We start from the raw sequence: 26668 nt of genomic DNA on the forward strand, positions 1-26668 counted from the left end.
AACACTCCAGATTCTAAAGCAAGGTAACTGGGGAGCATTGGAAGAGTCATCCAGCAATCGGTTGGCCGGCTGGCCCATGTCCCTAGTGCCGGTGCACCCCACTACATTTCTGGACAATCGGGGTAATACATAGTCTGATACTAGATTTCCAAAACAGAGTCTTTGGGAGTGAAAACTCTCTCTTCCAATACTTCCCTAAAGCCTGCATGCACAGTTTATAGTTGAATTGTTACAATGATGCTTCAATATCTTCTAAGCACATCTGACCTCAGTGCTCACTTTCACAAAGTAAGTGAGTGGGAGAGCCATGACTTGAGAGTGTGAGAAGGGGCATGGGAAGGGTTGCTGCTGGATGCCCCATGGGCTGCCCTGCCACCCTCCCAGGGTCCACCACATCACTACACGGCCACCAAGGGTAACAGCTTCCCTTGGAGGCAGGCATTACTGGCTGTACTGGGCAATGAATTCCATGATGTCCACAGCCTCCAGCAGTGTGTGTGGCACAGGAGTCTCTAGAACAGGATCTGCCCGTATGGTCGGAGCACAGCACAGTGCTCAGGGATAAGTCTGGGATTAGGGACCTGAGACTCATCCTGCTCTGGCCATGTGACTTTGGGGTCTTCACTTTATACCTCTAAACCTCTGTTTTCTGCTGCATGAAACAAAACGGTTAGGATTCTGGTTCGACAAGAAACAGGGCCATGCGCTTTTATCTCCTCTCTTTCTCATACCCCCACTGAACCCATAAAGATAGTTTTTAAAAAGTAGAAAACTATAACACAAAGGTAAGGGAGGAAGAGAGACACATCAGTGGATGAGAGACTTCAAGGAATTTCTGGAAGACACACAGAAGTGGAGGAGGATTAGGAGACAGAACATTGAGCATCTCTAGACAGGTAGACATGCAAAGTGAGTCACATGCCTATCTGCCCCCAGGAAGGCCACGGGAGTTGAGCTCTTTGAGGCATGAGGTGCAAACACAGCAGGCATGAGGCACAGGCTGAAAGTGGAGGCATTGCTGCGGAAGCCACATCTGCTCTCCTCCAGGAGATGTTCTCTCAACTGACAATGCCATGGCAAACACAGAAACTTCCCTGTGATCATCAAGCTTATACCCAAGGTGGAAAATTAGACAATAAACAAGGAAATAAATACAGAACTAAGACTAGGAAAACCATAGATTGTGCTAAAGTGCTGAGTAAAGAATTTAAAGAGAGGGCTTTGAGTGGAAACCAGAGGTTTAGAGGCCGAGCAGGACTGGGCCTCAGGTCTTAATGAGAGCACCTTGGTGCTTGAAGTGCTTATGTTAGGTCAGTGGTAAAGAAAGCTTTCTTGGAAGAGGTGATGTTTAGGCCAGTGTCTGCTGGAAGGAAGAAGCCAGCTGTGTGGAAGTCAGGGAGAATAACAATGCAAGGAGCTGGTATTTATAAAGCAAAGACCCAAAAGTGAGGATGTGCTCAGTGTATTTGAGGGGCCTGATGCAGGGCCCAGCACCCACTAGGATCTCAACATATTTTTGTTAAAGTGAAGAAATAACTTTCTTTTTTTGTTTTTTTTTTTTTTTGAGATGGAGTCTCGCTCTGTCCTCCAGGCTGGAGTGCAGTGGTGCATTCTCGGCTCACTGAAAGCTCCGCCTCCCAGATTCATGCCATTCTCCTGCCTCAGCCTCCCAAGTAGCTGGGACTACAGGTGCCCGCCACCACGCCCGGCTAATTTTTTGTATTTTTAGTAGAGACAGGGTTTCACCGTGTTAGCCAGGATGGTCTCGATCTCCTGACCTCGTGTTCCACCCACCTCGGCCTCCCAAAGTGCTGGGATTACAGGCGTGAGCCACTGCGCCCGGCCAGAAATAACTTTCAAGAGTTTTCAAGGAGGCACGTGTGGCTTCAGTGCTGTGGGTGAGACCAGGCCATGCAGGGCTGTAAGCCAAAGTAAGTAGGCTAAAGTTTACTCTAAATGGGAGAGGAAAATGGCGATGATGAATTCTCAGTATGTTCTGGACAGATCCCTTTGACTGTCATCTAAGAATGGAGTGTTAGGCATAAGAGTGCAAACAAAAAGCACCAGGATCACTCAGGGTTCCCCATGGCAAACAACCTCGGACAACTCCAGCTACTGCAATCTGACAAAGTATTCACTGAAAGGATAATGGTAGCTAATTATTACCTGGAGGCCTCAAGCATATGTGCCCTCTGAACCTAAAATAAGTGTTGAAAAAGAAAAATAAAGACTCAGAAGCAACAAAACCCAGAATGATACTGCCAATCATGCCCGGGCCTGGTTGAGTAGAATTCCTGACACACCCAGCTGGACACCAGACTGGCTGTGCCTCTAGAGCTCCACTTTGCTGCTCCCACCACCCACAGCAGGAAGGGTCCCTCTCCCTCACCCTTCATCCTGCTCTGAGGTACAGAGCAATGCCTCTGACTGAGGGGACCCTTGTTCTACCTTCACTGTCATGCTTAGTCTCTGGGGTGTGAGGCAGGGTCCTACGAGGGGGCTCATGTCTGTCAGAAGTGTAAAAAAGAAAAAAAATAGAGTGAAGAAAACTTAAGGAACGTATGGAATATCATGAAGGGGATACGTATGTGCATTATGGAAGCTCGACAAGGAGGAGAGAGCCAAAAAGCTTATTCAAAGAAATAATAACTGATGACTTTTCAAATCTGGGGAAGGAAATGGATATCCAGATCCAAGAAGCTCCCACCAGCCCCCTCCAAAAAAACCAAATTAGATAAATCCAATGAAATACACATTGAGACATACTATTACCAAAATGTCAAAAGACAAAGAGAGAAATTTGAAAACAGCAAAAGAAAACCACCTTGTCACATACAAAGGAACCTCCACAAGAGCATCAGAGGATTTTTCAGTAGAAATTTTGTAGGCCAGAAGGGGTGGGATGACATAGGGAAAGTGCTGAAAGAAAAAACTGGCAACTTAGAATACTGTATACAGCAAAACTCTTCTTTAAAAATGCAGGACAGATAATGACTTTTTTTTTATTTTACTTTAAGTTCTAGGGTACATGTGCACAACATGCAGGTTTGTTACATATGTATACATGTGCCATGTTGGTGTGCTGCACCCATTAACTCATCATTTACATTAGGTATATCTCCTAATAATATCCCTCCCCCTTCCCCCTACCCCATGACAGGCCCCAGTGTGTGATGTTCCCCTTCCTGTGTCCATGTGTTCTCATTGTTCAATTCCCACCTATGAGTGAGAACATGCGGTATTTGGTGTTTTGTCCTTGCAATAGTTTGCTGAGAATGATGGTTTCCAGCTTCATCCATGTCCCTACAAAGGACAGGAGCTCATCCTTTTTTATGGCTACATAGTATTCCAGGGTGTATATGTGCTACATTTTCTTAATCCAGTCTATCATTGATGGACATTTGGGTTGGTTCCAAGTCTTTGCTATTGTGAATAGTGCCACAATAAACATACATGTGCATGTGTCTTTATAGCAGCATGATTTATAATCCTTTGGGTATATACCCAGTAATGGGATGGTTGGGTCAAATGGTATTTCCAGTTCTAGATCTTTGAGGAATCGCCACACTGTCTTCCACAATGGTTGAACCAGTTTACAGTCCCACCAACAGTGTAAAAGTGTTCCTATTTCTCCACATCCTCTCCAGCACCTGTTGTTTCCTGACTTTTTAATGATAGCCATTCTAACTGGTGTGAGATGGTATCTCACTGTGGTTTTGATTTGCATTTCTCTGATGGCCAGTGATGACGAGCATTTTTTCATGTGTTTGTTGGCTGCATAAATGTCTACTTTTGAGAAGTGTCTGTTCATATCCTTCACCCACTTTTTGATGGGGTTGTTTGTTTTTTTCTTCTAAATTTGTTTGAGTTCTTTGTAGATTCTGGTGTTTAGCCGTTTGTCAGATGAGTAGATTGCAAAAATTTTCTCCCATTCTTTAGGTTGCCTGTTCACTCTGATGGTAGTTTCTTTTGCTGTACAGAAGCTCTTTAGTTTAATTAGATCCCATTTGTCAATTTTGGCTTTTGTTGCCATTGCTTTTGGTGTTTTAGACAGGAAGTCCTTGCCCATGCCTATGTCCTGAATGGTATTGCCTAGGTTTTCTTCTAGGGTTCTTATGGTTTTATGTCTAACATTTAAGTCTTTAATCCATCTTGAATTAATTTTTGTATAAGGTGTAAGGAAAGGATCCAGTTTCAGCTTTCTACATATAGCCAGCCAGTTTTCCCATCACCATTTATTAAATAGGGAATCCTTTCCCCATTTCTTGTTTTTGTCAGGTTTGTCAAAGATCAGATGCTTGTAGATGTGTGGTATTATTTCTGAGGGCTCTGTTCTGTTCCATTGATCTATATCTCTGTTTTGCTACCAGTACCATGCTGTTTTTGTTACTGTAGCCTTGTAGTATAGTTTGAAGTCAGGTAGTGTGATGCCTCCAGCTTTGTTCTTTTGGCTTAAGATTGTCTTGGCAATGTGGGCTCTTTTTTGTCTCCATATGAACTTTAAAGTAGTTTTTTCCAATTCTGTGAAGAAAGTCATTGGTAACTTGATGGGGATGGCATTAAATCTATAAATTACCTTGGGCAGTATGGCCATTTTCACGATATTCAATCTTCCTATCCATAAGCATGGAATGTTCTTCCATTTGTTTGTGTCCTCTTTTATTTCATTGAGCAGTGGATTGTAGTTCTCCTTGAAGAGGTCCTTCGCAACCCTTGTAAGTTGGATTCCTAGGTATTTTATTCTCTTTGAAGCAACTGTGAATGGGATTTCACTCATGATTTGGCTCTCTGTTTGTCTGTTATTGGTGTATAAGAATGCTTGTGATTTCTGTACATTGATTCTGTATCCTGAGACTTTGCTGAAGTTGCTTATCAGCTTAAGGAGATTTTGGGCTGAGATGATGGGGTTTTCTAGATATACAATCATGTCATCTGCAAACAGGGACAATTTGACTTCCTCTTTTCCTAATTGAATACCCTTTATTTCTTTCTCCTGCCTGATTGTCCTGGCCAGAACTTCCAACACTATGTTGAACAGGAGTGGTGAGAGAGGGCATCCCTCTCTTGTGCCAGTCTTCAAAGGGAATGCTTCCAGTTGTTGCCCATTCAGTATGATGTTGGCTGTGGGTTTGTCATAGATAGCTCTTATTATTTTGAGATACATCCCATCAATACCTAATTTATTGAGAGTTTTTAGCATGAAGTGTTGTTGAATTTTGTCAAAGGCCTTTTCTGCATCTATTGAGATAATCATGTGTTTTTTGTCTTTGGTTCTGTTTATATGCTGGATTACATTTATTGATTTTCATATGTTGAACCAGCCTTGCATCCCAGAGATGAAGCCCACTTGATCATGGTGGATAAACTTTTTGATGTGCTGCTGGATTCGGTTTGCCAGTATTTCATTTAGGATTTTTGCATTGATGTTCATCAGGGCTATTGGTCTAAAATTCTCTTTTTTGGTTGTGTCTCTGCCAGGCTTTGGTATCAGGATGATGCTGGCCTCATAAAATGAGTAGGGAGGATTCCATCTTTTTCTATTGATTGGAATAGTTTCAGAAGGAATGGTACCAGCTCCTCCTTGTACCTCTGGTAGAATTCAGCTGTGAATCTGTCTGGTCCTGGACTTTTTTTGGTTGGTAGGCTATTAATTATTGCCTCAATTTCAGAGCCTGTTATTGGTCTATTCAGGGATTCAACTTCTTCCTGGTTTAGTCTTAGAAGGGTGTATGTGTCCAGGAATTTATCCATTTCTTCTAGATTTTCCAGTTTATTTGCGTAGAGGAGTTTATAGCATTCTCTGATGGTAGTTTGTATTTCTGTGGGATCGGTGGTGATATCCCCTTTATCATTTTTTATTGCGTCTATTTGATTCTTCTCTCTTTTCTTCTTTATTAGTCTTGCTAGCAGTCTATCAATTTTGTTGATCTTTTCAAAAAAGCAGCTCCTGGATTCAGTGATTTTTTGAAGGGTTTTTTGTGTCTCTATCTCCTTCAGTTCTGCTCTGATCTTAGTTCTAGTTCTTGCCTTCTGCTAGCTTTTGAATGTGTTTGCTCTTGCTTCTCTAGTTCTTTTAATTGTGATGTTAGGGTGTCAATTTTAGGTCTTTCCTGCTTTCTCTTGTGGGCATTTAGTGCTATAGATTTATCAGATAAACAAAAGCTGAGGGAATTAATCACCATTAGATCTGACTTAAAGGGAATTATTCACTGGAACAAAAGAATGCTAAACAGTAACATGATAACATAAAAAAGTATGAAACTCATTAATAAAGGTATACATATATGCACACACACACACACACACAGCAGTATACTTCTGTAATGGTGGTGAGTAAATCACTGTTAATAGTAATATAAAAGTTAAAAGACAAGTATATTAAAAATAATTATAACTTTAAAATATGTTAAAAGAAACAATAGACGTAAATTTTGATAATAACAGAAAGTGTGGAGGTGGGAAGAAGTTAAAATGGAGAGATTTTGTGTGCAACTGAACTTAAGTTATTATCAGCTTAAATGGACTTCTATAATTATAGGATATTTTATGTCAGCTCCAAGTTGACCACACCAAAAAAAAATACCTATAGAAGATACCCAAAAGAGAAAGAGAAAGAAATCAAAGCACATAATACAAAAATCAACAAAATATATAGGAAGACTCCAAAAGAAGAAAAGACAGACAAAATAACTATAAGGCTAACAGAAAACAAATAACAGAGGGGCAATTGTAAATCCTTTCCTATCAATAATTACTTTAAATTACAATGGATTAAACATACAATGGCTGAATGGATTTTTAAAAGACAATAAATAAAAGACAGAGTGGCTGAATAATTTTTTAAAAAAGAAGAACCAACTGTATGCTATTTACAACAAACTCACTTTAGATTTAAGGACACACAGAAAATGAAAGTGAAGGAATGGAAAAGTATGTTTCATTCAAATGCTAACCAAAAGAGAGCACAGATGGCTATATGTATATCAGAAAAAAATCAACTTTAAATCAAAACTTGTGACAAGAGAAAAAGAATGACATTGTATAATAATAAAAGGGTCAATCCACCAGAAACATAAAACAATCACAAATATGTACGCACCCAACACCAGAACACCTAAATATATAAAGCAAAACTTAACAAAACTGAAGGGACACATTGACAAAAATACAACAATACTGAGACTTTTATGCCCTACTTTCAATAGTGGACTGAACATTCAGACAGAAGATCAATAAAGCAATAGAGGACTTGAATAACACTATAGACCAAAAGGAACTACCAAACTTTGGCAGAACCTTCCATCCAACAGCAGCAGAGTGCACATTCTTCTCAACTGTACATGGACCTATCTCCAGGATAGATTACAGGTTAGGTCACAAAACAAGTCTTAACAAACTTAAGAAGGTTGTAACCATGCCAAATATTTTTTTTCTACAATGGAGTGAGACTAGAAATCAGTAGCAGAAGAAAACTTTGAAAACTTACAAATATGTAGAAATTAAACAACACATTTGTGAATGACCATTGAGTTAAAAAAATCAAAGGGAAATCAAAATGTATTGAGCCAAATGAAAATGAAAACACAACACATCAAAACTTATGGAATGCAGCAAAAGCAGTACTAAGAGAGAAGTTAATAGTGATAAATAACTGCATTGAGAAAGAACAAAGATCTCAAATAAACAACTCACCTTTACATCTCAAAACATCAGAAAAAGAACAAACTGACCCCAAAGTTCACAGGAGGAAAAAAAATAATGAAGATTAGAATAATAATTGAAATAGTAAAATAAAACAATAGAAAAAATAGATAAAACTAAGAAAGGTTTTTTTAGAAAAATAAAATCGACAAAACTTTAGCTAGATTACAGAAAAAAGAGGGAGGACTCAGATAAATAAAAGCAGAAACAGACATTACAACTGATACCACAGAATTAAAAGGTATCATATGAGACTACTATGAATAATTATACAACAACAAACTGGATAGTCTAGAAGAAATTGATAAATTCCTAGAAACATGCAACCTATGAAGACTAAATCATGAAGAAATAGAAAATCAGATCCATAACTAGTATGGAGATTGAATAAATAATCAAAGACTTTCCAACAAGAAAAACCCAGGACCAGATGGAGTCTCTGGTGAATTCCACCAAACATTTACAGAATTAACATGAATCTTTCCCAAACTCTTACAAAAAAAAGTCAAGGAAGGAAATACTTCCAAACCCATTTTATGAGGCCAAAGATACCACAGATAAGAAAACTGCAGGCCCAGTACCCTGGCTAACACCTATAATCCCTACACTTTGGGAGGCCAAGGCAGGAGGATCACTTGAGGCCAGAAGTTCAAGACCAGTCTGGGCAACATGGCACCCAGAGGTGGATTCCTTGAGCCTGAGAGTTTGAGGTTGCAGTGAGCTATGATCACACCATTGCATTCCAGTCTGGGTGAAGGAGTGAGACCCTGTTTCAATTAAAAAAAACAGAAAGAGGAAAGAAGAAGGAAGAAGAATGGAGGAAGGAAGGAAGGAAGGAAGGGAAGGGAAGGGAAGGGAAGGGGGAGGAACAAGAAGAAGAAGAGGAAGAAGAAGAAGAAGAAGAAACAACTACAAGCCAATATCCCTGATGAAGATAGATGAAAAAAATTCTCAGAAAATGCTAGCAAACTCAATCTGAGTGCACACTAAAAGGACTACAGACGGTGAGCAGGTGGGATTGATCTTTGAGATGCAAAAATTGTTAACCATATGAAAATCAATTACTGAGCTACATCACATTAATTAAAGGATAAAAATTACACAATCATCTCAACAGATGCAGAAAAGTAAAAATTCAATACTCTTTCATGATAAAAACTCTCAACAAACTAGAAATGGAAGAAAATTATCTCAACATAATAAAGGCTATATATAAAAATCCCACAGCTAACCTCATCCTCAGTAGTGAAAAATGCAAGTTTTTCCTCAAAGATCAGAAGCAAGGCAATAGTATTCACTCTCATCACTTCAATTCAAGATAATATGAAAGTTTTACCAGATAATTAAGCAATAAATAAATAAAGGTATCCAAATCAGAATGAAGTAAAATTGTTCCTGTTTGCAGAAAACGTGATCCCACAGACAGAAACACCTAAACACTCTGTTAGAACTAAGAAACCAAGTCAATAAAGTTGCAGGATACAAAATCAACACACAAAAATCGGTATACACTAACAACAAAATATCTGAGTAGAAAATTAGGAAAATATTTTATTTACAAAAGCATCATAAAAATGAAATACTTACATAAAAACATAACTTCAGGAGGTAAAAGACTTGTCTACTGAAAACTATAAAACATTGATGAAGGAAACTCAGCAGGACAGAAATAAGTGGAAAATTTCTGTGTTTGTGATTAGAAAACTTAATATTGTCAAAATTTCCATACTACTGAAAGTGATTTACAGAGTTAATGCAATCCCTATCAAAATCCCAATAGCATTTTTTTCAAAAATAGAAAAAAAAACACAAACAGTAAAAACGATCTTGATAAAGAACAAAGTAGAAGACATCATACTTCCTGGTTTTAGAATCTACTACAAAGCTACACTAATCACAACAGTATGGTGTTGACATAAAAACAGACATATGCAGAAATCAAACTGGATAGAGAGCTTAGAAATAAATGTGCACATATATGGTCAACAGACCTTTGACAAGAGTACCAAGAGCATACAATGGGAAAAGGTCAGTCTCTTCAACAAATGGTCTTGGAAAAAAATGAGTATCTACGTGCAAATAAACAAAATTAGACCCTTATCTTACACCATACACAGAAGTAAACTCAAAATGGTTTAAATACTTAAATGTGAGACCTAAAACTGTAAAACTCCATTTGTTTAACATATGTAAATGTTTTCAAGGAGAAAACTTAGGGAAAGGCTTCATGACAATGGTCTTAAATATTATTAAATGGATATAACACAACTAAAAAGATAAATACATGGGACAGCTTCAAATTAAAAAGCTTCTGCACAACAAAATAAATCACCAATAGAGTGAAAAGTCAGCTTATGAAAAGGGAGAATATGTTTGCAAACCATGCATTTGGTAATAGGTTATTCTCAAAAATATTTATGTAACTCCTACAATTCAATAATTTTTTAAATCTAATAACCTGATATAAAAATTGGCTAAGGGTATAAATAGACATATCTCTAATAAGATATGCAAACAACCAACAAGTATATGAAAAAGTGCTCAACATCACTAATGATCAGGGAAATGCAAATCAAAACCACAACCAGATATCACCCTATACCTATCTGGATGGGTAACAAGTGTCAGTAAGCACATGGAGAAAAGAGAACCCTTGCACACTATTGGTAGGAATGCAAAATGGTGAAAATGGTGCAGCCACTATGGAAACCAGTATGGACATTCCTCAAAAAACTAAAAATAGGACTATTATATGACTCAGCAATTCTATTTCTCAGTATTCATCCAAAAGAATTGAAATCAGGATCTCAAAAAGATATTAGCACTTCTATATTCATTATAATACTATTCACAAAAGCTGAGATGTAGAAGCTACTGAAATGTCAATTGACAGATGAATGGATAAAGAAATATGGTAAATACATGCAATCGAATACTAGTCAGTCTTAAAAGAAGGAAATTCTGCAGTATGTGACAACGTGGATAAACTTTGAGGAGATGATGTTAAGTGAAATAAGACAGTCACAGCAAGACAAACGCTATGGTTCCACTGAAATGGGCTATCTAAAACAGTCAATTTCATAGATGCAAAGAGAGAAATGGTGGCTGTCAGGGACTGGAGAATGGAGAAAATGAAGGGGAAAATGGAGAGTAAAAAATCAACAGGCACAAGGATTCAGTCAAGCAAACTGAGTCTCCCCTTGAGGTCTGCTATAAAACAGTGTACCTGTAGTGAACAATAATCGGCTGTACACTTAAAAAATTGTCAAGTGGGTATATTTCATGTTAAGTGTTCTTATCATAAAAAAGTGAAAACTTTTAAAAAGTATACAAAGATCATCTAAATTATGTATGAGTGAGACTCAAGACACAATTCATTCTGAGGCAAAAATCCTCTCCAGCTGTGAACCTGGGAAACCAGCAAGTGATGTGCTTCCAAAATACAATGATGGGAAGGCACAGGATAGAAAAGCTCATTCCAAAAGGGAGAAATAGGAAAGGAAAAACTGGTGCTGAGTCTTAAGCAAGCCCAGAACCTGCAAGGCAAACTTCATCAGCCCGCAAGGCTCAGAACAATCCTCTTTGGCTCTGCTCTCTGGGCCCCTTGGAGGCATCACCCCATCACCCTAGATGGTGGACTCACCCCCTTGTATCTGTGAGGGCCCCACCCCATGGCTCTGCAGGGGACCTCCCCCTAGGGAAATGACATTCTGGTTGTGGAAGCTGAGGAGGAAACAGCCTTACCCCCACACCCATGATGGGAGGGGCACCCCGATGATCTCTGAATTGTCTTTGAGGTCATTCTCTTTTCTTGAAGGATAAGGCTTGACTGAAGCTAAAGAGTTCTACTGTCTCATCCCAGAAGTCAGACAGCCTTCTTTCATCCTATCCCACCTTCTCTGTTCTCTTTAACTCAAACGAACAGTGTTTCTGCTAGCACAACCCCATCTCTGTTCCTGGATTCTGCTGAGATGGCTGACTAAACCCATGAGTAATCTTGATACAGAGTGACTGTCCAGCCACACTCATTGTTCTCTTCAGAACATGTTTTCTCATTTTTTGTAATATGGATAGGCTGAGAATTTCCCAAATCTTTAAGTTTTAGGGTTTTTTTTTCTTTTAACTTTTGCTTTAGGTTCAGGGGTACATGTACAGGTTTGTTACACAGGTAAACTCGTGACACAGGGGTTTAATTTACAGATTATTTCATCATGCAGACACGAAACATAGTATCCAACAAGCATTTTTTCTCATCCTCTCCCTCCTCCCACCCTCCACCGTCAAGTAGACCCCCAGTGTCTGTTGTCCCCCTCTTTGGGTCCATGTGTTCTTGTTATTTAGCTCCCACTTTTAAGTGAGAACATGTGGTATTTGGTTCTCTGTTCCTGTGTTAGTTTTGCTAAGGATAATGGCCTCCAGCTCCATCCAGGTCCCTGCAAAGGACATGATCTCATTCTTTTTCATGGCTGCATAGTATCCCATGGTGTATATAGACCACACTTTCTTTATCCAGTCTATGTTTCTTTTTTGCTCAACAATTCCTTCAATGTATCTCTCTCCTCTCACATTTAACAATAAGCAGTAAAAACTCAGGCCATACCTTCAACGTTTTGATTGGAAATCTCCTCTGCTAAATATCCAAGGTTGTAACTCCCAATTTCTTCCTTCCACGAGACACTAGAGCACAATCCAGCCAAGTTCTCTGGCACTTTATAATAAGGATAGCCTTTGTCCAATAACCTGTTCTGTATTTCCTTCTGAGACCTTACCAGAAGCTCCTTTCACATTCATGTTTGTGTCAACATCCTGTTTATATTTCTATATCCTCTAAGACAACAGAACATTTCTCTACAGCTCTACTGACTCCTTTCAAAGGCTTCCCTGGAATTACCTTTAACATCCATACTTCTACCAACAGTCCCTTAGGGCAATCTAGGTTTCTTCCAGCTGCAAGTGAAACTCTTCCAGCCTATATGCAGTTCCAAGGCCACCTGTACATTTTTAGGTGTTTGCTAGAGTAGCACTCCACTTGCAGTACCAAAATCTGTACTCGTCTTCCAGTCTGCTTGTAACAAAACACCATAGACTGGGTAACTTACACAGCAGAAATTAATTTTCTCACAGTTCTGCAGGCTGGAAGTCTGAGATCAAGGTGTCAGCTGGTTGGCGACGAGGCCTCTTTTCCTGACTTGCAGATGGTTCTTCTGTGTCCTCACGTGGCCTTTCCTCCCTGAACACACGCTTCTGGCATCTCCTCCTCTTCTTGTGAGGACAAGAGTCCTATGGGATCAGGGCCCACCCTTATGGCCTCACTTAACCTTAGTCACCTCCTTAAAAGACCTTCCTTCAAATACAGTCACACTGGGATTATGACTTCAACATATGAAGTTGGGGGAAATACAATTCAGCCCATAACAGTGTTCAACTAAAAGTGTGTGTGTGTCTGTGTGTCTGTGTGTGTATGTGTGTGCCTTGTGTGCATGCATGTGTGTATGCATGTGAGTGCATGTCTGTATCTGCATCTGCATGTGTGTATGTCTGCGTCTGCATCTGTGTGCATGTGTGTCTGCGTGTGTGCGCATGTATGTACATGTGTGCATGTGTGTGCGCACGTGTGTGCGTGTGCATGTGTCCATGCATGTGAGTGTGTGTGTTTTATGAATAGGGGATGGTGTAGAACTGTCAGGTCAGAGCCAAGAGATGGGCACTGAGGCTGACAGCACAGAGGCACGCAGGGCTGTGACAGTATCAGCCTCGGTGGAGAGCGGGGGCCAGAAGCCCTAAGGAGTTGGACTGAGAAAAGAACATAAGGAAGTAGAAATAGTGAGGATAGAACAGGAAACTTGACCCCTCAAGTCCTTCCAGCTCAACCTGAAAACTGCTTCTCCCCTCACACCTCCCTTGGCCAACACCACATGCTTAGAGGCAGCCTTCAGCAGACTCTGAAGAAACTGGGATGGAGGAGTTCTGGCCTCTGAAACACAGAGTGGATGGCTAGTGTGAGGCTCGGGCGGGAAAAGACAGGAACGGGTCAAACTGCACACTGAATAGCCTTCTGTCCTGCAACCCCCGCGGGCTCCTCCCAAAGCTAACCAGAAGTGGAGGCTCCACTCCATCAGCCAAGGGCAGGAGGGGTCCATCTTGGACAAATCAGATGTTCTCAAGTGTCCCCCAAGACCACCAACTCACCAGCAGACCCACCTCCAGTAAAGTCAATCCATCCACAGCACAGCCTAGTAGGGCGCCGTGCAGGAAGGGAACGCGCCCCGAGAGCTCCGCTGCTCACAAGGGAACAGATGTCACCAGGAGGCAGGGGCAGCCACAGGCACTTGACAATGTCTTCACTTAACCGCGTATCGCTGCATCGCTAGGGCGAAGAGAGCAAGGAGGACTGTGAAGAGCGAAGCCTGAGCTGCCATGTGGTGAGTCCGGAGATCATAGCTCATTGATAAGGGCTAATTACAACAGCATATTATTAGGAACATAAAGATAAATACAAAGAAAAAAGCCTAAAAGAGTTGCAAGTGGTTGATTGTGAGGCATGGCACCAGAGGCTGGGACACGTGGCACAGGGCATGGGAATCCCCTGGCACGGGCGGAGGCTGCTTTAGGAATCCTGAAAATCAGCACCTCTCCTTCCGCAGGAGCTCCAGAACCAACGGGGAGCCAGGCAGACACGCAGCAGGCTGGGGGAGAGGATGGGGAAGCAGCAGCGATGGGCCTCTGAGGCTGAGCCCCAGACCCAAACACGAGCCAGCCCCCAGGCCTCCCCTCACCGGCCCCTGCAGGACTTACGGCACGGGGATACCAACCAGAATGCGTGCTTCCTGTAGGAGACTGGCTCCCAGGGGGGAAAAGGAGGGCAGGGTGGAGGCACGTCGACTCCAGCCTCATCTCAACTCATCATTAAGATAATCTATCGTCCCTTCGGAGAGGAGCAGACCAGCATGGCCCAAGCCCGGGAAAGGCCCCAGATACCCCCACAGGTAGTGCCAGGAGTGGAGAAGTACTGTTTCCCCCAACACATACAGCTTACTTTCTAAACTATGTGTCTGTGTTTCTTTGCTTAAAATAAATATTGGCTTAAAAATGACTGAAAGCAGGAAGCGGTTCAGCCCGCCTGCTTGCCCTGCTGCTCCGCCTCTGGCCTCTGAGCAGCTGGGGAGACACAAGGAGAAGAGCCTGGGATTCACCTGCAAGAAGCACATGCAGTGGCACCCGAGGGGTGGGGCTGGGGCGCCATTGAGTCCAAGCACCATCAGGCACGCCATGGCCCTGGCCCAGACCCCACCTCCAGGGAGACCAATCTTGTGCCACTCGTGGTTGTTCAACTCTTTTCTGAATGGTTCTGAGACTTAGCATGCCAGGTAGTGGGGAAGATTCAGACTTTGAAATCAATGAGTTTCTGTCCCTAACACGCAAAATCAGGGGACAAAACTACGTCATGGGGACCTGGTGATCAATGGGAAGATGTAAAATAGTACCTGGCCCACGGTGGCCTGTGCGGGGGCATATACAGCTCTGAACCCTCTCCCTACTCTCACATTCACAGAGACAGACATCCACAGCACCGAAAACTGAGATTGATGAGCAATTAATGCGAAAACCTTGGAGGAATCTCCACTAATTAAAAAGCAAATGGAGTTGTAAAAGAAAAAAAAAATTCCCTACCCAGACCCCAGGCTTCAGATTATTACAGACTCAGGTTATTGCATGGCACAGAGGCAGCCTGATAATGCAGATGACATCTTCTGTAAAATAGGAAGCGCAGCGTGCCTCCCAGGCCACATACCAGGAGACGCCCAGCACACGCGCCGCGTTGTCCTCTGTCCCTGCTCCCATACACTGCAGCTCCCATACGCTGAGCCTCGATGGGACCCTGCAGACACGCAGATGGGTCTGGTCTGATGCCTCTGGTCCTGGGGCAGCTCCCGGGCCTGGAGAGGCTCCCCTGGAATGCTCAGATTTCAAGCAGATTTCAGCTGCATATTAAATATAACCTTCTAAAAATAAAGATGGCCAGCCGTGAAGATGCTGCCTCACAACTAACTAGTCCCTTCTCAAAAACATCGCAGGATGAATCCTGAGTTGGCTGAGAGAGAGGCAAAGATGTCCCGAGGTTGGTCCCCATGAGGAGACTCCATACTCTGTGTCTGCAGATCAGGAATCTCCTCTTGTCATAACATCCCACATCTGGGGTTGTCTTTTTCCTCAATAAGGCCTACATTTTATCCCTGGAGGCCACCTCCGGCATGGGTAACATTCACCTGAGCTCTTGGTCCAGCCACCAGTAACACTTCTGGGCTCTCTTGTGCCTGAGAGGTGAGCAGAACAGGCCCAAGCACCCAGACCTTCCCACAGGTCCCCGGCACCCAGCCCCAAGGGGAGAGCGGAACCGGGTCTGCCCCATTCTGAGAATGAGGTGGGTGAGACTGGCTCACAGGGTGAAGTGTGAGGTGTCTCCACGTATCCATGGTTGCTGTCGGGTCAGAGAAGAAGCATTTTCCTGCGGAGCCCAGATGAGTAGAACTAGGAATGGAGGTGGAAAGTGCAACAACCCAATTTGGGAGTCAACAAAAGTAGCCTTTGAGCACATGAAGGCCATTCAGTCACAGGAGAGTCACCATGAGGGACGCTGAGCTCCCAGTGGTGATTTATGAGCCTTGAGTGACCATAGCGAGGGGGGACCGGCCAGCAGGATGGAGCCCGGACCTCAGAGTCACCACTCTGGGGCCCTCCAATCCCCATTTCGATTATTCTTTCCCCTCTCATTCCAATCCCTTCTTGTAACAAAGATTGCTCCATGAGGAGTACATGTAATGCTCTTTGAACAGACCATCTGCACATTCTAATAAGTTCTCAGTGGAACATTTACTGATGGACCCCTAAATGAATTAGGCGGGGCAGAAGTCCTTAGAAGTCCTGGGTTTCCTAACATTGTATGGAGCCCTTACTCTTTTCTCAGGGTGAGATCGATGATGGGGCCTGCCCTGTAGTTTCAACAAGGCCCCTCAGTAAATCTGACCTGAATTCAAACCAGTGGTGCAGGAGGACCCCCTTAAAGCACATAAAAGTGCTCCCTGACGGCGAGTCACCCGCCAGTCAGAAGCCCCAGATTTCAATGCCACCTCCCATCTCCTATTAACCAGCTGTGCACCATTCACCAAGTCACTTTGCCCCTCTGTTTGTTTCCTCTTCTGCAACATCAGGCAGACCAGAGGGAGACAGGATGCAGGGTATTTCAGGAGCTCCCATGTGACCATGATGGGCTTGTATCAAGCGCTGGCCTGGAATCAGGGCTGCTGTTCCTCCTCTCCTTCCAGCACTGCTGCCTACAGACAGCCGCGCCCACGCTTCTCCTGTGGAGATTGCCACATCCTGGCCCCCTTTCCCCGGTTGCCATGGAAAGATGAGAGCGGAAAGACAAGCTCAGCACGCAGGCGGATTCACGGCTCAGTCCCTGCAGAGAACTCCAGAGTCCCTGGGATGAACCTGTCAGTGCTGCAGGCTCTGCGGCTCATTAGCAGAGAGAGCAGCAGGCAGGGCTTCCTACAACTTCTCAGCACATGCCTGGCCCTCCCTCCTCACTCGGAGGTCTCCTGGATACCCTGGGTGGGCTTGCAATCATCACATGTTCCGTTTTTCTATGTAAGCCTCCCTGCAGAAGATCCCAGGCTATGGTTGACATGAGACACCGCTAGACAAGCTGGGTCAGCTCTGGAGAGTGACACAAGGGGACCTCTCCAATCCCTTAGGTACCAGCCAAGGAGAAGAAAGGGAACTGACCTCTATCTGGTCTTCATATATGCCAGGCACGGTCCCAAATACTTTGCACATGTGATCTCATCAAACCCAAGCAACAGTCCTGAGAATGAGCGTGGCATTATCCCCACTTTGTGGATAAACAAATTAAGGTCTGATAACCAAGAAACAGGCCTGTGGTCAGACAGCTAGGAATATTCCTAGCCCAACTCCATTTGTTTAGAAATGCAATTCCAAGATTGCACTCTTACCCCAAGTTCCAGCTTTCAATGTTGAAGTACTGCCTCTCCAAACCTTTAGTACGTAGTGGGCTGGACTATGGTCCCCAATTAGCACACCCTACCCCCTGGAAACTGTGAAAAAGGTCTCTGCAGAAGAGACAAGGAAAGATTATTGTGGATTATCTGAGTGGGCCCTAAATCTCATCAGGAGTATCCTTAGAAAAGAGGGCAGAGAGAGACTCGACACCCAGGGAAGGCCATGTGGCCACAGAGGAGAGATTAGGTCATGTGGCACCAAGGACACCAGGAGCCCCCAGAAGCTAGAAGAGGCAGGAAGGTCTCTTTCCTAGAGCCTTCCGGGAGAGCACAGCTCAGCAGGTTCTTTGGATTTTGCCCCCTGAAACTGATTTTGGACTTTCAGCCTCCATTACTGTAAAGAACAAATTTTGACTATTTTAAGCCATCAAGTCTGTGGACATCTGTTATGGCATCCATAGGACATGGAGCCCAGGATGAGGGCTCTGAGAAGTAGTGTGGGGCATCCATGGGTGCTTGTCACCACTCCCCAAATTATGCTCATCCTCTATGCATTCTAACAACACCCTAAGCAAATGGCACCCATGTTTCTCCAGGTTAGTATTGTTCTTCTGAGCTCCAGATGCAAACATCCCAAGGCCAACCTTCTATTCCCATGAAGACATGTCAGGAAGCTCACACGTTATACAAAGAGGAGTCCTTCACTTCCCCCACACCTCAAAAACCACACGACTGCTTTGGGTTTCTCCATTTATCAAGTGGTGGGAGCCATTCTTAATTCCTCCACTCCCCTCACGCCCAGCAGGGCTTCCAGGAACAGGTTATGATGATCCCCCTCTTCTCCCCACTGTGGTCCAGCCACGATCATCTCTGAATGGGTCATGGCAGCATCCTAATAACACCCCCAGCACCATTTCTGGCTGCAGCATTCACACAGCAGCAGGAAGGATCATCCCAAAGCAGATCTGAGTATGCCACTCCTGTCACTCAAAATAATACCCACATTCTTTACCAGGGACAGAGACCCTGCCTGGTCCTGCCTGAGCCAGTCTCCCATGCCCCATGACCAGTACCTGCTCCCTGGTCTCAAAGTCCTCAGGCTCTTCAGGGCTCCAGGCTTGCTCCATTTCTCCCTCAACTGAGATGCTTTTTCCCAGATCTCCAAGTCCGGCCCCTTCTCAGCAGCCCAGGTCTCTGCCTGCACAGAGGTTTTCCCCGTATGTGCCACTCCAGAGGCCTGTTCACCCCGCCACCACTCCCCAAACCCACCCTTGTTTTTTCATTTTTGTTAACAATGGCCTCAATCAGTTAGTATGCACTATTCATTTATTTACACTAACCCCCATGCCTGGCTTGAATTTGCCCCCCAAAAGTTCTTGTGTTATAAATTCAATCCCAATGCAACTTTGTTGGGAGGTGACTGGGTTGTGAGGTCAGGTTAGTTATTATGACAGTGGGTTGTTACAAAGTGAGTCTGGCACCTGGTGCTCTTCTTAGTCCCTGCCCTTCCACCTTCCACCTTCCACCATGGGATGACCCAGATGCCAGTGCCATGCCCTTGGACTTCCCAGCCTCTTCAACTGCAAGAAGTAAATGTATCTTCTTCATCAACTGCCTAGTTTGTGGTATTATGTTTTAGCAGAAAATAGATTAAGACGTCCCACTAGAATGCAAAACCCAGGCATGCTTGCTGTTCTCACGGCCGTTGTCTTAGCAATGCTGGATACATCACCCAGCACTCAGTAGGAACCCAATGCATGTTTGTTAAATGAATAACTGTCAGACAAACTGTAAATTGGACAGGACAGGTATTATTATGATACCTATCGTTAAATAAGGGAGCCAAAGCCCAGAGTAGTTAAGTGCCTTGTCTGACATCACGTAGCTCATAAATAGAAGAACAGAAAAGGTGAAGTGAGGTATTAGATACGAGGGAGTTGCACATGGTAAGGTGCCATGAGAGATAGGATGATTGTAGATCTTCTTCTCTTGATAGCCAGCCAAAATCAGGAACAGGAAGATACAGAAGACAGTGACAGGGAGCAGTCAGGCGAGGAAAGAAAAGCTCTAATTTGGCGATGGAAAATCCGCTGGGCAAAGCCTCACAGTCAGCAGTCTGGGAGGACACAGAGCTGAGGCAGGGTCAGGCAAGAGTCACAAGAATAAGAGAAGGCTGAGAAGGCCGGTGGCTAATGAGAGGAGTGGGGAGACCTGAGGGTGGAGCCAGCGGCACAGGTTTCGGCCAGTCTGAGTGCTGGAGAGCGGGCTGAGGGTCGAAAGGACTCAGCAGGCTGCCGCCAACCCCCCAGTGATGTGAGCAGAGCACGGGGAGGAGCCCAGAGGGAGGGGGGACTCCGGCATCACCTCCCACACAGACTGTGCATTAGGAATTCTGTGAGATAACTGTGGCCAGATGATCCCAGGGCACATGGCTCTCGGAGGTCAGACAATCCTGCTGCCTTGTGTTATAGATCACAGCACCCAGCTTTGCAACCCCAACTCCTTGCACAACATGGCAAATATTATTTTTCTCAATAAAAGATTTCTGGATGAATGATGATGAGGCCCATCAAGGTGAGTCAGTGCTCTAATTATCCATTGCTGAATAACAAACCACCCTGAAAAAAGCAGAGAGAAACAACCACCAATGTATTAAGCTTGTGGATCCCATAGGTCAAGGATTTGGACTGGGTACAACAGTGGTTGTCAGCCTCTATTCCTCAATGTCCAAAACTCTCAAAAGAACTCAGATGGCCAGAACCTGGAATTTTCTGGTGTTTCTTGACTCCTATCTAGTGGCTGAGCCAAGATGACTCAAGAGTGAGGTTCCATGAGCCTGTTGACCATGTCTGTTCATGTTGCCTTTCTCTGTTCCCAGCCTTCTCCCAACACAGCAGCTGAGTCCAAGGCGAGAAGGTTCCTCAAGTGGAATGTGACCATACCCAGAGCCTGAGCACAGGACACAGCCCTTTACGACCCAGCTCAGAAAGTCACCTGGTATCACCTACCCATCCTCTGTTGGTTGAAGTGGCCATTGGCCCACTGGATGCAAGTCAAGCGGCCACAGATCCCCACCCCTGGAAGAACCCACGGCCAACAGTTTTAAACTGCCATTGTCAGGAACTCGAGGTTCCCGATGCCTGTCTTAGTCTGTTTTCTGCTGTATAATGGAATATCTGACACCAGGTAGTTTGTAAAGAAAAGGAAGTTATTTCTTACAGTGCTGGAAGCTGGAAATCCAACGTCCAGGGGCCACATCTGGTGAGGCCCTTCCTGCAGGTGGGGACTTTCTACAGAGTCCCGAGGGGGCACAGGGCTTCATATGGTCAGGGGGCTCATGAGAGAGAGGCGACCTGGCTTTTACTAACAACCCATTCTCGTGATAAGTAACCCCACCCCTCTCTAACCCATCAATCCAGTAATCCGGTAATCAATGGATGGGTTAATCCATTCATGAGAGCAGAATCCTCATGACATCATCACCTCCCAAAGATCCCGCCTCCCAACACTGCTCATATTGGGGACCAAATTTCCAACACAAATGAACTTTTGGGGACACATTCAAACTATAGAAATGGCCGTATTCACCATCTCCGTTTGCCATACCCAATGACCACAGACTAGGGGGCTTAAAGAATCAGAACTTACTTGCTCGCAGTTTCAGAGGCTGGAAGTTGGCATCAAGTATCAGCAGAGTTGATTCCTTCTGAGGCCTCTCTCCTCACCTTCCAGATGCCATCTTCTCAGGGATCCTCAGGTGGTCGTCCCTCTGTGTGGCTGTGTCCTAATCTCCTCTTATGAGGATACCAGTCACACTGGGTCAAGGGCCACCCTAATAACCTCATTTTACCTTAATCACCTCTTTAAAATCCCTAGATCCACACAATTCAGCCTGATGAGGTGATCTGATACTCAGGTGAGGTCCTTCCTGGCTCTCAGGCTGCTCTGCTGTTTTCACAAGGGCAGAAGCTGATCCCAAAGTCCCTGCCCCTGACTCCACAGAGATGACCGTGGCTGGAAAGGCTGCGAAAGGTCCAGGAGTTACAGACGTCCACCTGATTTCAAAGTACATCATTAAAGTAAACTGTCCTCCCAAATGGAACACAGGAACATGCTGGCTCCTGCCAAGAGCTCGCCCCATTTGATCAGAGCTGCAGTCTCTCCCGTGATATCCTGGCGTCCTCCGTGGAAGTGCAGATTCTGGGCAGGACTAAATCTGTTCCTTCTTTCTTCTCTCCTTTCCTCTACTGAATGCATGCAGCCATTACAACAGTTTCTATCTCAATATACACATATTTTTAGGGCAGAAAGATAGTAGTGGGATCCCATATTGGCAGGAACTATCAGGGAAGCAACAGGATGTAAATTCCATCATCCTCACCTGGTGTCCTTTGCTTTTCCAACCCGTTTGTCACTTAAACTGCTCCACACCTTCCCCAGTGTCCCAAAGCCACACATGATAGGCTGCAAATCAGCACACAGCCCCGGGAAAATCTTTGGCCCATGAGCGTGAAATTTTTTAAAATATACATCCCCACTATCTTGAAGTGCAGGCTCCTTCTAACAGACAGAAAAGCAGCCTGGGTTTCTTTTTTTTAATCCACGGGCACATGGCAGATTCCCGTTCTGCCCACATCTGAGAACAAGAGCTTTGGGCAACCGGTCTCCACCATGTGCTGCTGGCAGGGGCTGGGCAGGAGGCGGAAGGCAGGAGCCAGGCCCAGCGTGGATGTCACAGTCCCCAGAGCTTAACGCTTATGGAGAGGCAGATTCTGCTCCGTGGCAGGGGAGCTACAGACATGGCCCCTAGTCCCACACCTGTCCGGGTCACGAGCCTCCTCTGTGAGGCCTAGGCATTCCCCTTCACAGCTCTCCATTCCAAAGGGCATCAACGACCCTGGCCTGTGGAAATCAATCCTGTTCTTAGAATCTCCATCATTTATGGAATCCACTGTTGCTTGCCAGAATTACAGTGGTCATTCTTAAAATGTCAGTTTAAAGCTCTACAATTATTATCTGCTAAATTCAGACACAATTCCGATGAGGAATTAATTTCTCACTCAGAACGCCCTCAGCTGCAGCGGGGAGAGGATGCAGCAGCCGGACCAGCTCCTGCAGCTGTGCTGCGTTCATGGGAGTTGCTAATGGGAGCAGGGGCTGGGCCTGTGTCTGTCTTTCCTTATCATATTACTCTCATTTCCGTTTTAAAAGATGCCCCCACCAACGTACATTGCATATCAATGATGAGATGACTTAATTTTTTGGACATACTGAAAAGAAGACTGGATGGGGGTGCCAGGCTCACACCCTCACTCAGTGAACCCCAGGCCGTGGAAGGGCAGTTGCTTTCTTGGCCTTGGGGAGGTGGGTGGCCATTGAGCAATGAGGCTGCCCAGAAGGGCACAGGCCCTGGAGGGGACCCGTGCTGGCACAGCAGGCTGGCCTGCCTAGGGGGGCTCTGGACACCAGCTGCCCTCCCTTCTGCCTGCTGCGCCCCCAGGCAGAACATCCAGAAGAAGCCCTCAAACCAGCTAGTGTAGATGGACATTGATAAAGGAGACTGGGCTACCAAACAGGTAGAGACATTGTGGCCAGCACTCCTGGGGAGGGAGACAGAATGGCAGCAAGAATTGGCTTGGGGTTCTTCCTGGCAGCAGTGGCTCAGACAGGGGTGGCTAAGGGTGGCCTGGGTGTTCGGAGCCCTCAGAGACAGAGGCAAAGCCCAGTTCTCCCTTGTCACTTCCTTGGGAAGGGGAAACTGGGGTGCAAGACCTCTCAGTCCACAGAAGTCAGCATTCGGAAGATACCAGCCAGCCAGAGAAGATGCCACCGGAAGCAGAAGTCCAAACACACAAGCCAGCGGCAGGTGCCCACATTAGAGAACCCAGTCAGGTGGTTCATGTCCCTCAGGAGAATCTGGTCACAGCCTTCACTGCTCTTTCCTCCTCTCTGCCTCTGTTTTTCTCTCTCCCCCTTCGGTCTTCCTCCTCTTCCTCTTAAATACAAAAAAAAAAAAAATGTGTGGTCTGGCAGGGGTGGGTAGGGCACATGCAGGGTCCGTCCCACCCCATTTCACCCTTGCAGCCACATGGGCCTCTGTGGGTCCTGGAAATGGGGTGCTGTTTGTACAAGGCCCTTGGAGGCAGCCCCTCTGTGAGTCACTGTTACTGCTCCTGATAAACCAATTGACTCAAATCTGTCCTGTGGCTCTCAGTTCCATGACCCTGGCTCAGAGCCTGGCACGACCTCCATGGCCCACAGAACCCAAGTGTATCCTTCCTAGAACAGTGAGGGTAGCACCTCCATGTGACCATGTGATCACTGGCCACTCCCTACATGCACTGATCATGTCCATCACTACAAGGGCCACACCTGAGAGGATCCAGGACCACTGCTTGATGCTAAGCAGATGCTGTTGACAAATGACCCAATAAGGACACAATGGCAAGGGTGGAACGGGGGGAAGCTGGAAAGATGGCCCCATAGAGCCAACGGTGAAACTGGAGGTGTCTGGGAGGATGACCCCATAGAGCCAAGGATGGAACAGGAGGCAGCTGGGAAGATGGCCCCATAGAGCCAAGGATGGAACAGGAGGCAGCTGGGAAGATGGCTCCATAGAGCAAAGGATGGAACTGGAAGCAGCTGGGAAGATGGCCCCATAGAGCCAAGGGTGGAATGGGATACAGAGGAAGATGGCCACCATAGAGGCAGGGTTAGAACTCAAGGCAGCTGGGAAGATGGCCCCATAGAGCCAAGGACAAAACAGGAGGCAGCTGGAAATCTGGCCCCATAGAGCAAAGGATGGAACTGGAGACAGCTGGGAAGATGGCCCCATAGAGCCAAGGATAGAATGGGAGGCAGCTGGGAAGACAGCCCCATAGACCCAAGGACAAAACAGGAGGCAGCTGGGAAGATGGCTCCATAGAGCAAAGGTTGGAACTGGAAGCAGCTGGGAAGATTGGCCCCACAGAGCCAAGGATGGAACAGGAGGCAGCTGGGAAGATGGCCCCTTAGAGCAAAGGATGGAATGGGAGGCAGCTGGGAAGATGGCCCCTTAGAGCCAAGGATGGAATAGGAGGCAGCTGGGAAGATGTCCCCTTAGAGCCAAGGATGGAATGGGAGGCAGCTGGGAAGATGGCCCCCATAAAGCCAGGGATAAAACAGAAGGCAGCTGGGATCCAATGGGCCACACAAATAAAAAAGCAGGGCTGCAGGTGAGGCCCAGTTGCCAGCAGCTGCTCAGTGCTACCCTTCACTGCCCCGATGCACACCCACAAACACGCGGACACACAAGACACACATACAGACACTCACAGAGCAGAGGCTGGATGTACGCTGTCGTCTGCCTTCCTCACCTTCCTGAGTGGGCAGAGCAGCAGCTTCAGGGACTGAAAAACCCACTCTGAGGGCAGAAAGAAAAGGAAAGCAAGGTTCATCTCCTCCTCAGAGGACCTCCAGGTTCAAAACCCAGACTCACACTCTCCCTCAGTAAAACCCCAGGTTCACACCCTCCTTCAGTATAACCCAAGACTCACACCCTCCCTCAGTATAATCCCAGGTTCATGCCCTCCCTCAGTGAACCCCCAGCTTCACACACTCTCAGTAAAACCCAAGATTCACACCCTCCCTCAGTGAACCCCAGACTCACACCCTCCCTCAGTGAACCCCAGGCTCACACCCCCACTCAGTGAACCCCAGGATCATACCCTCCCTCCGTGGACCCCAGGCTCACACCCTCCCTTAGTGAACCCCAGGCTCACACCCTCCCTCAGTGAACCCCAGACTCACACCCTCCCTCAGTGAACCCCAGGATCACACCCTCACTCAGTATAACCCCAGACTCACACCCTCACTCAGTGGACCCCAGGGTCACATCCTTCATCAGTGAATCCCAGACTCACACCCTCCCTCAGTGAACCCCAGGCTCACACCCTCCCTCAGTGAACCCGACTCACACCCTCCCTCAGTGAACCCCAGACTCATGCCCTCCCTCAGTGAACCCCAGACTCACACCCTCCATCAGTGAATCCCAGACTCACACACTCACTCAGTGAACCACAGGATCACACCCTCCCTCAGTGAACCCCAGACTCACGCCCTCCCTCAGTGAAACCCAGACTCACACCCTTCCTTAGTATAACCCCAGGTTCACACCCTCCTTCAGTGAACCCCTAGGATCACACCCTCACTAAGACCCCAGACTCACACCCTCACTCAGTGAACCCCAGACTCACACCCTCACTCAGTATAACCCCAGGTTCACGCCCTCCCTCAGTGAAGCCCAGGCTCAGGCCCTCCCTCAGGGAACCCCAGGCTCACGCCCTCCCTTAGCGAAGCCCAGGCTCACGCCCTCTCTTAGTTAACCCCAGACTCACATCCTTCCTCAGTATAACCCCAGGCTCACGCCCTCCCTCAGTGAAGCCCAGGCTCAGGCCCTCCCTCAGGGAACCCCAGGCTCATACCCTCCCTCAGGGAACCCCAGGCTCATGCCCTCCCTCAGCGAAGCCCAGGCTCACGCCCTCTCTTAGTTAAACCCAGACTTACATCCTTCCTCAGTAAAACCCCAGGCTCACGCCCTCCCTCCATGGACCGCTGTTCTCTGCGTGCTGGAGGAGCTGTGCTGCTGACTCACTGAATGGCTAGACCGGCTCTCCAGGAGGGACTCTGTCATCTCCACTTTAATGCTGTGGGAACAGGGGCTCTGTGAGACAAGGCTCTAGGTTTACGCAGCTCTCAGGCAGGAGACCTGGGGCCAAAGTCTCACTCTTCAAAACCTCCAGCACAACCACCAGGTGGGCAGCACACAGAGTCAGATGGGGAAGGCTGGTGCGCCCACCACGCAGTTTGTTGTAAGAAGGCATGCAGAGCCCTGGTGTGTGTTCACCCGGGGAGAGAATGAGTTCTATTGGCTCAAGGAGAAGGGGCCTTGTGGCAGTTTGGGGAATGGA

General features: G+C 46.0%; 1 long non-coding RNA gene across 5 annotated transcripts in view, besides 1 other annotated feature; it reads right to left on the reverse strand.

The window, feature by feature from the left end:
- LOC105373390 (uncharacterized) overlaps nucleotides 1-26668 on the reverse strand; it is a 133531-nt gene that overhangs the window by 104544 nt on the left and 2319 nt on the right. The window contains exons 3-6 of one of the 5 annotated variants that reach the window (NR_187835.1): nucleotides 26265-26404; nucleotides 25035-25122; nucleotides 21369-22622; nucleotides 19032-20338 (exon numbers count right to left, since the gene is read on the reverse strand). This is a non-coding gene — a long non-coding RNA (uncharacterized LOC105373390). Of the gene's footprint in view, nucleotides 1-19031; nucleotides 20670-21368; nucleotides 22623-25034; nucleotides 25123-26264; nucleotides 26405-26668 lie in introns of those variants that run through there. The other 4 variants (NR_187837.1, NR_187836.1, NR_187839.1 and 1 more) reach the window with 4 other exon arrangements.
- Nucleotides 25662-26295: an enhancer, noted in NCBI's record as "H3K27ac-H3K4me1 hESC enhancer chr2:2841318-2841951 (GRCh37/hg19 assembly coordinates)". NCBI's record gives its function as "activates a minimal SCP1, AML or CMV promoter by ChIP-STARR-seq in primed H9 embryonic stem cells {active_cell/tissue: H9 hESC(primed)}" and the evidence as "EXISTENCE:reporter gene assay evidence [ECO:0000049][PMID:30033119]".

The sequence above is a fragment of the Homo sapiens genome, chromosome 2, assembly GCF_000001405.40.
Source record: "Homo sapiens chromosome 2, GRCh38.p14 Primary Assembly".
In the NCBI taxonomy this organism is placed as follows: Eukaryota; Metazoa; Chordata; class Mammalia; order Primates; family Hominidae; genus Homo; species Homo sapiens.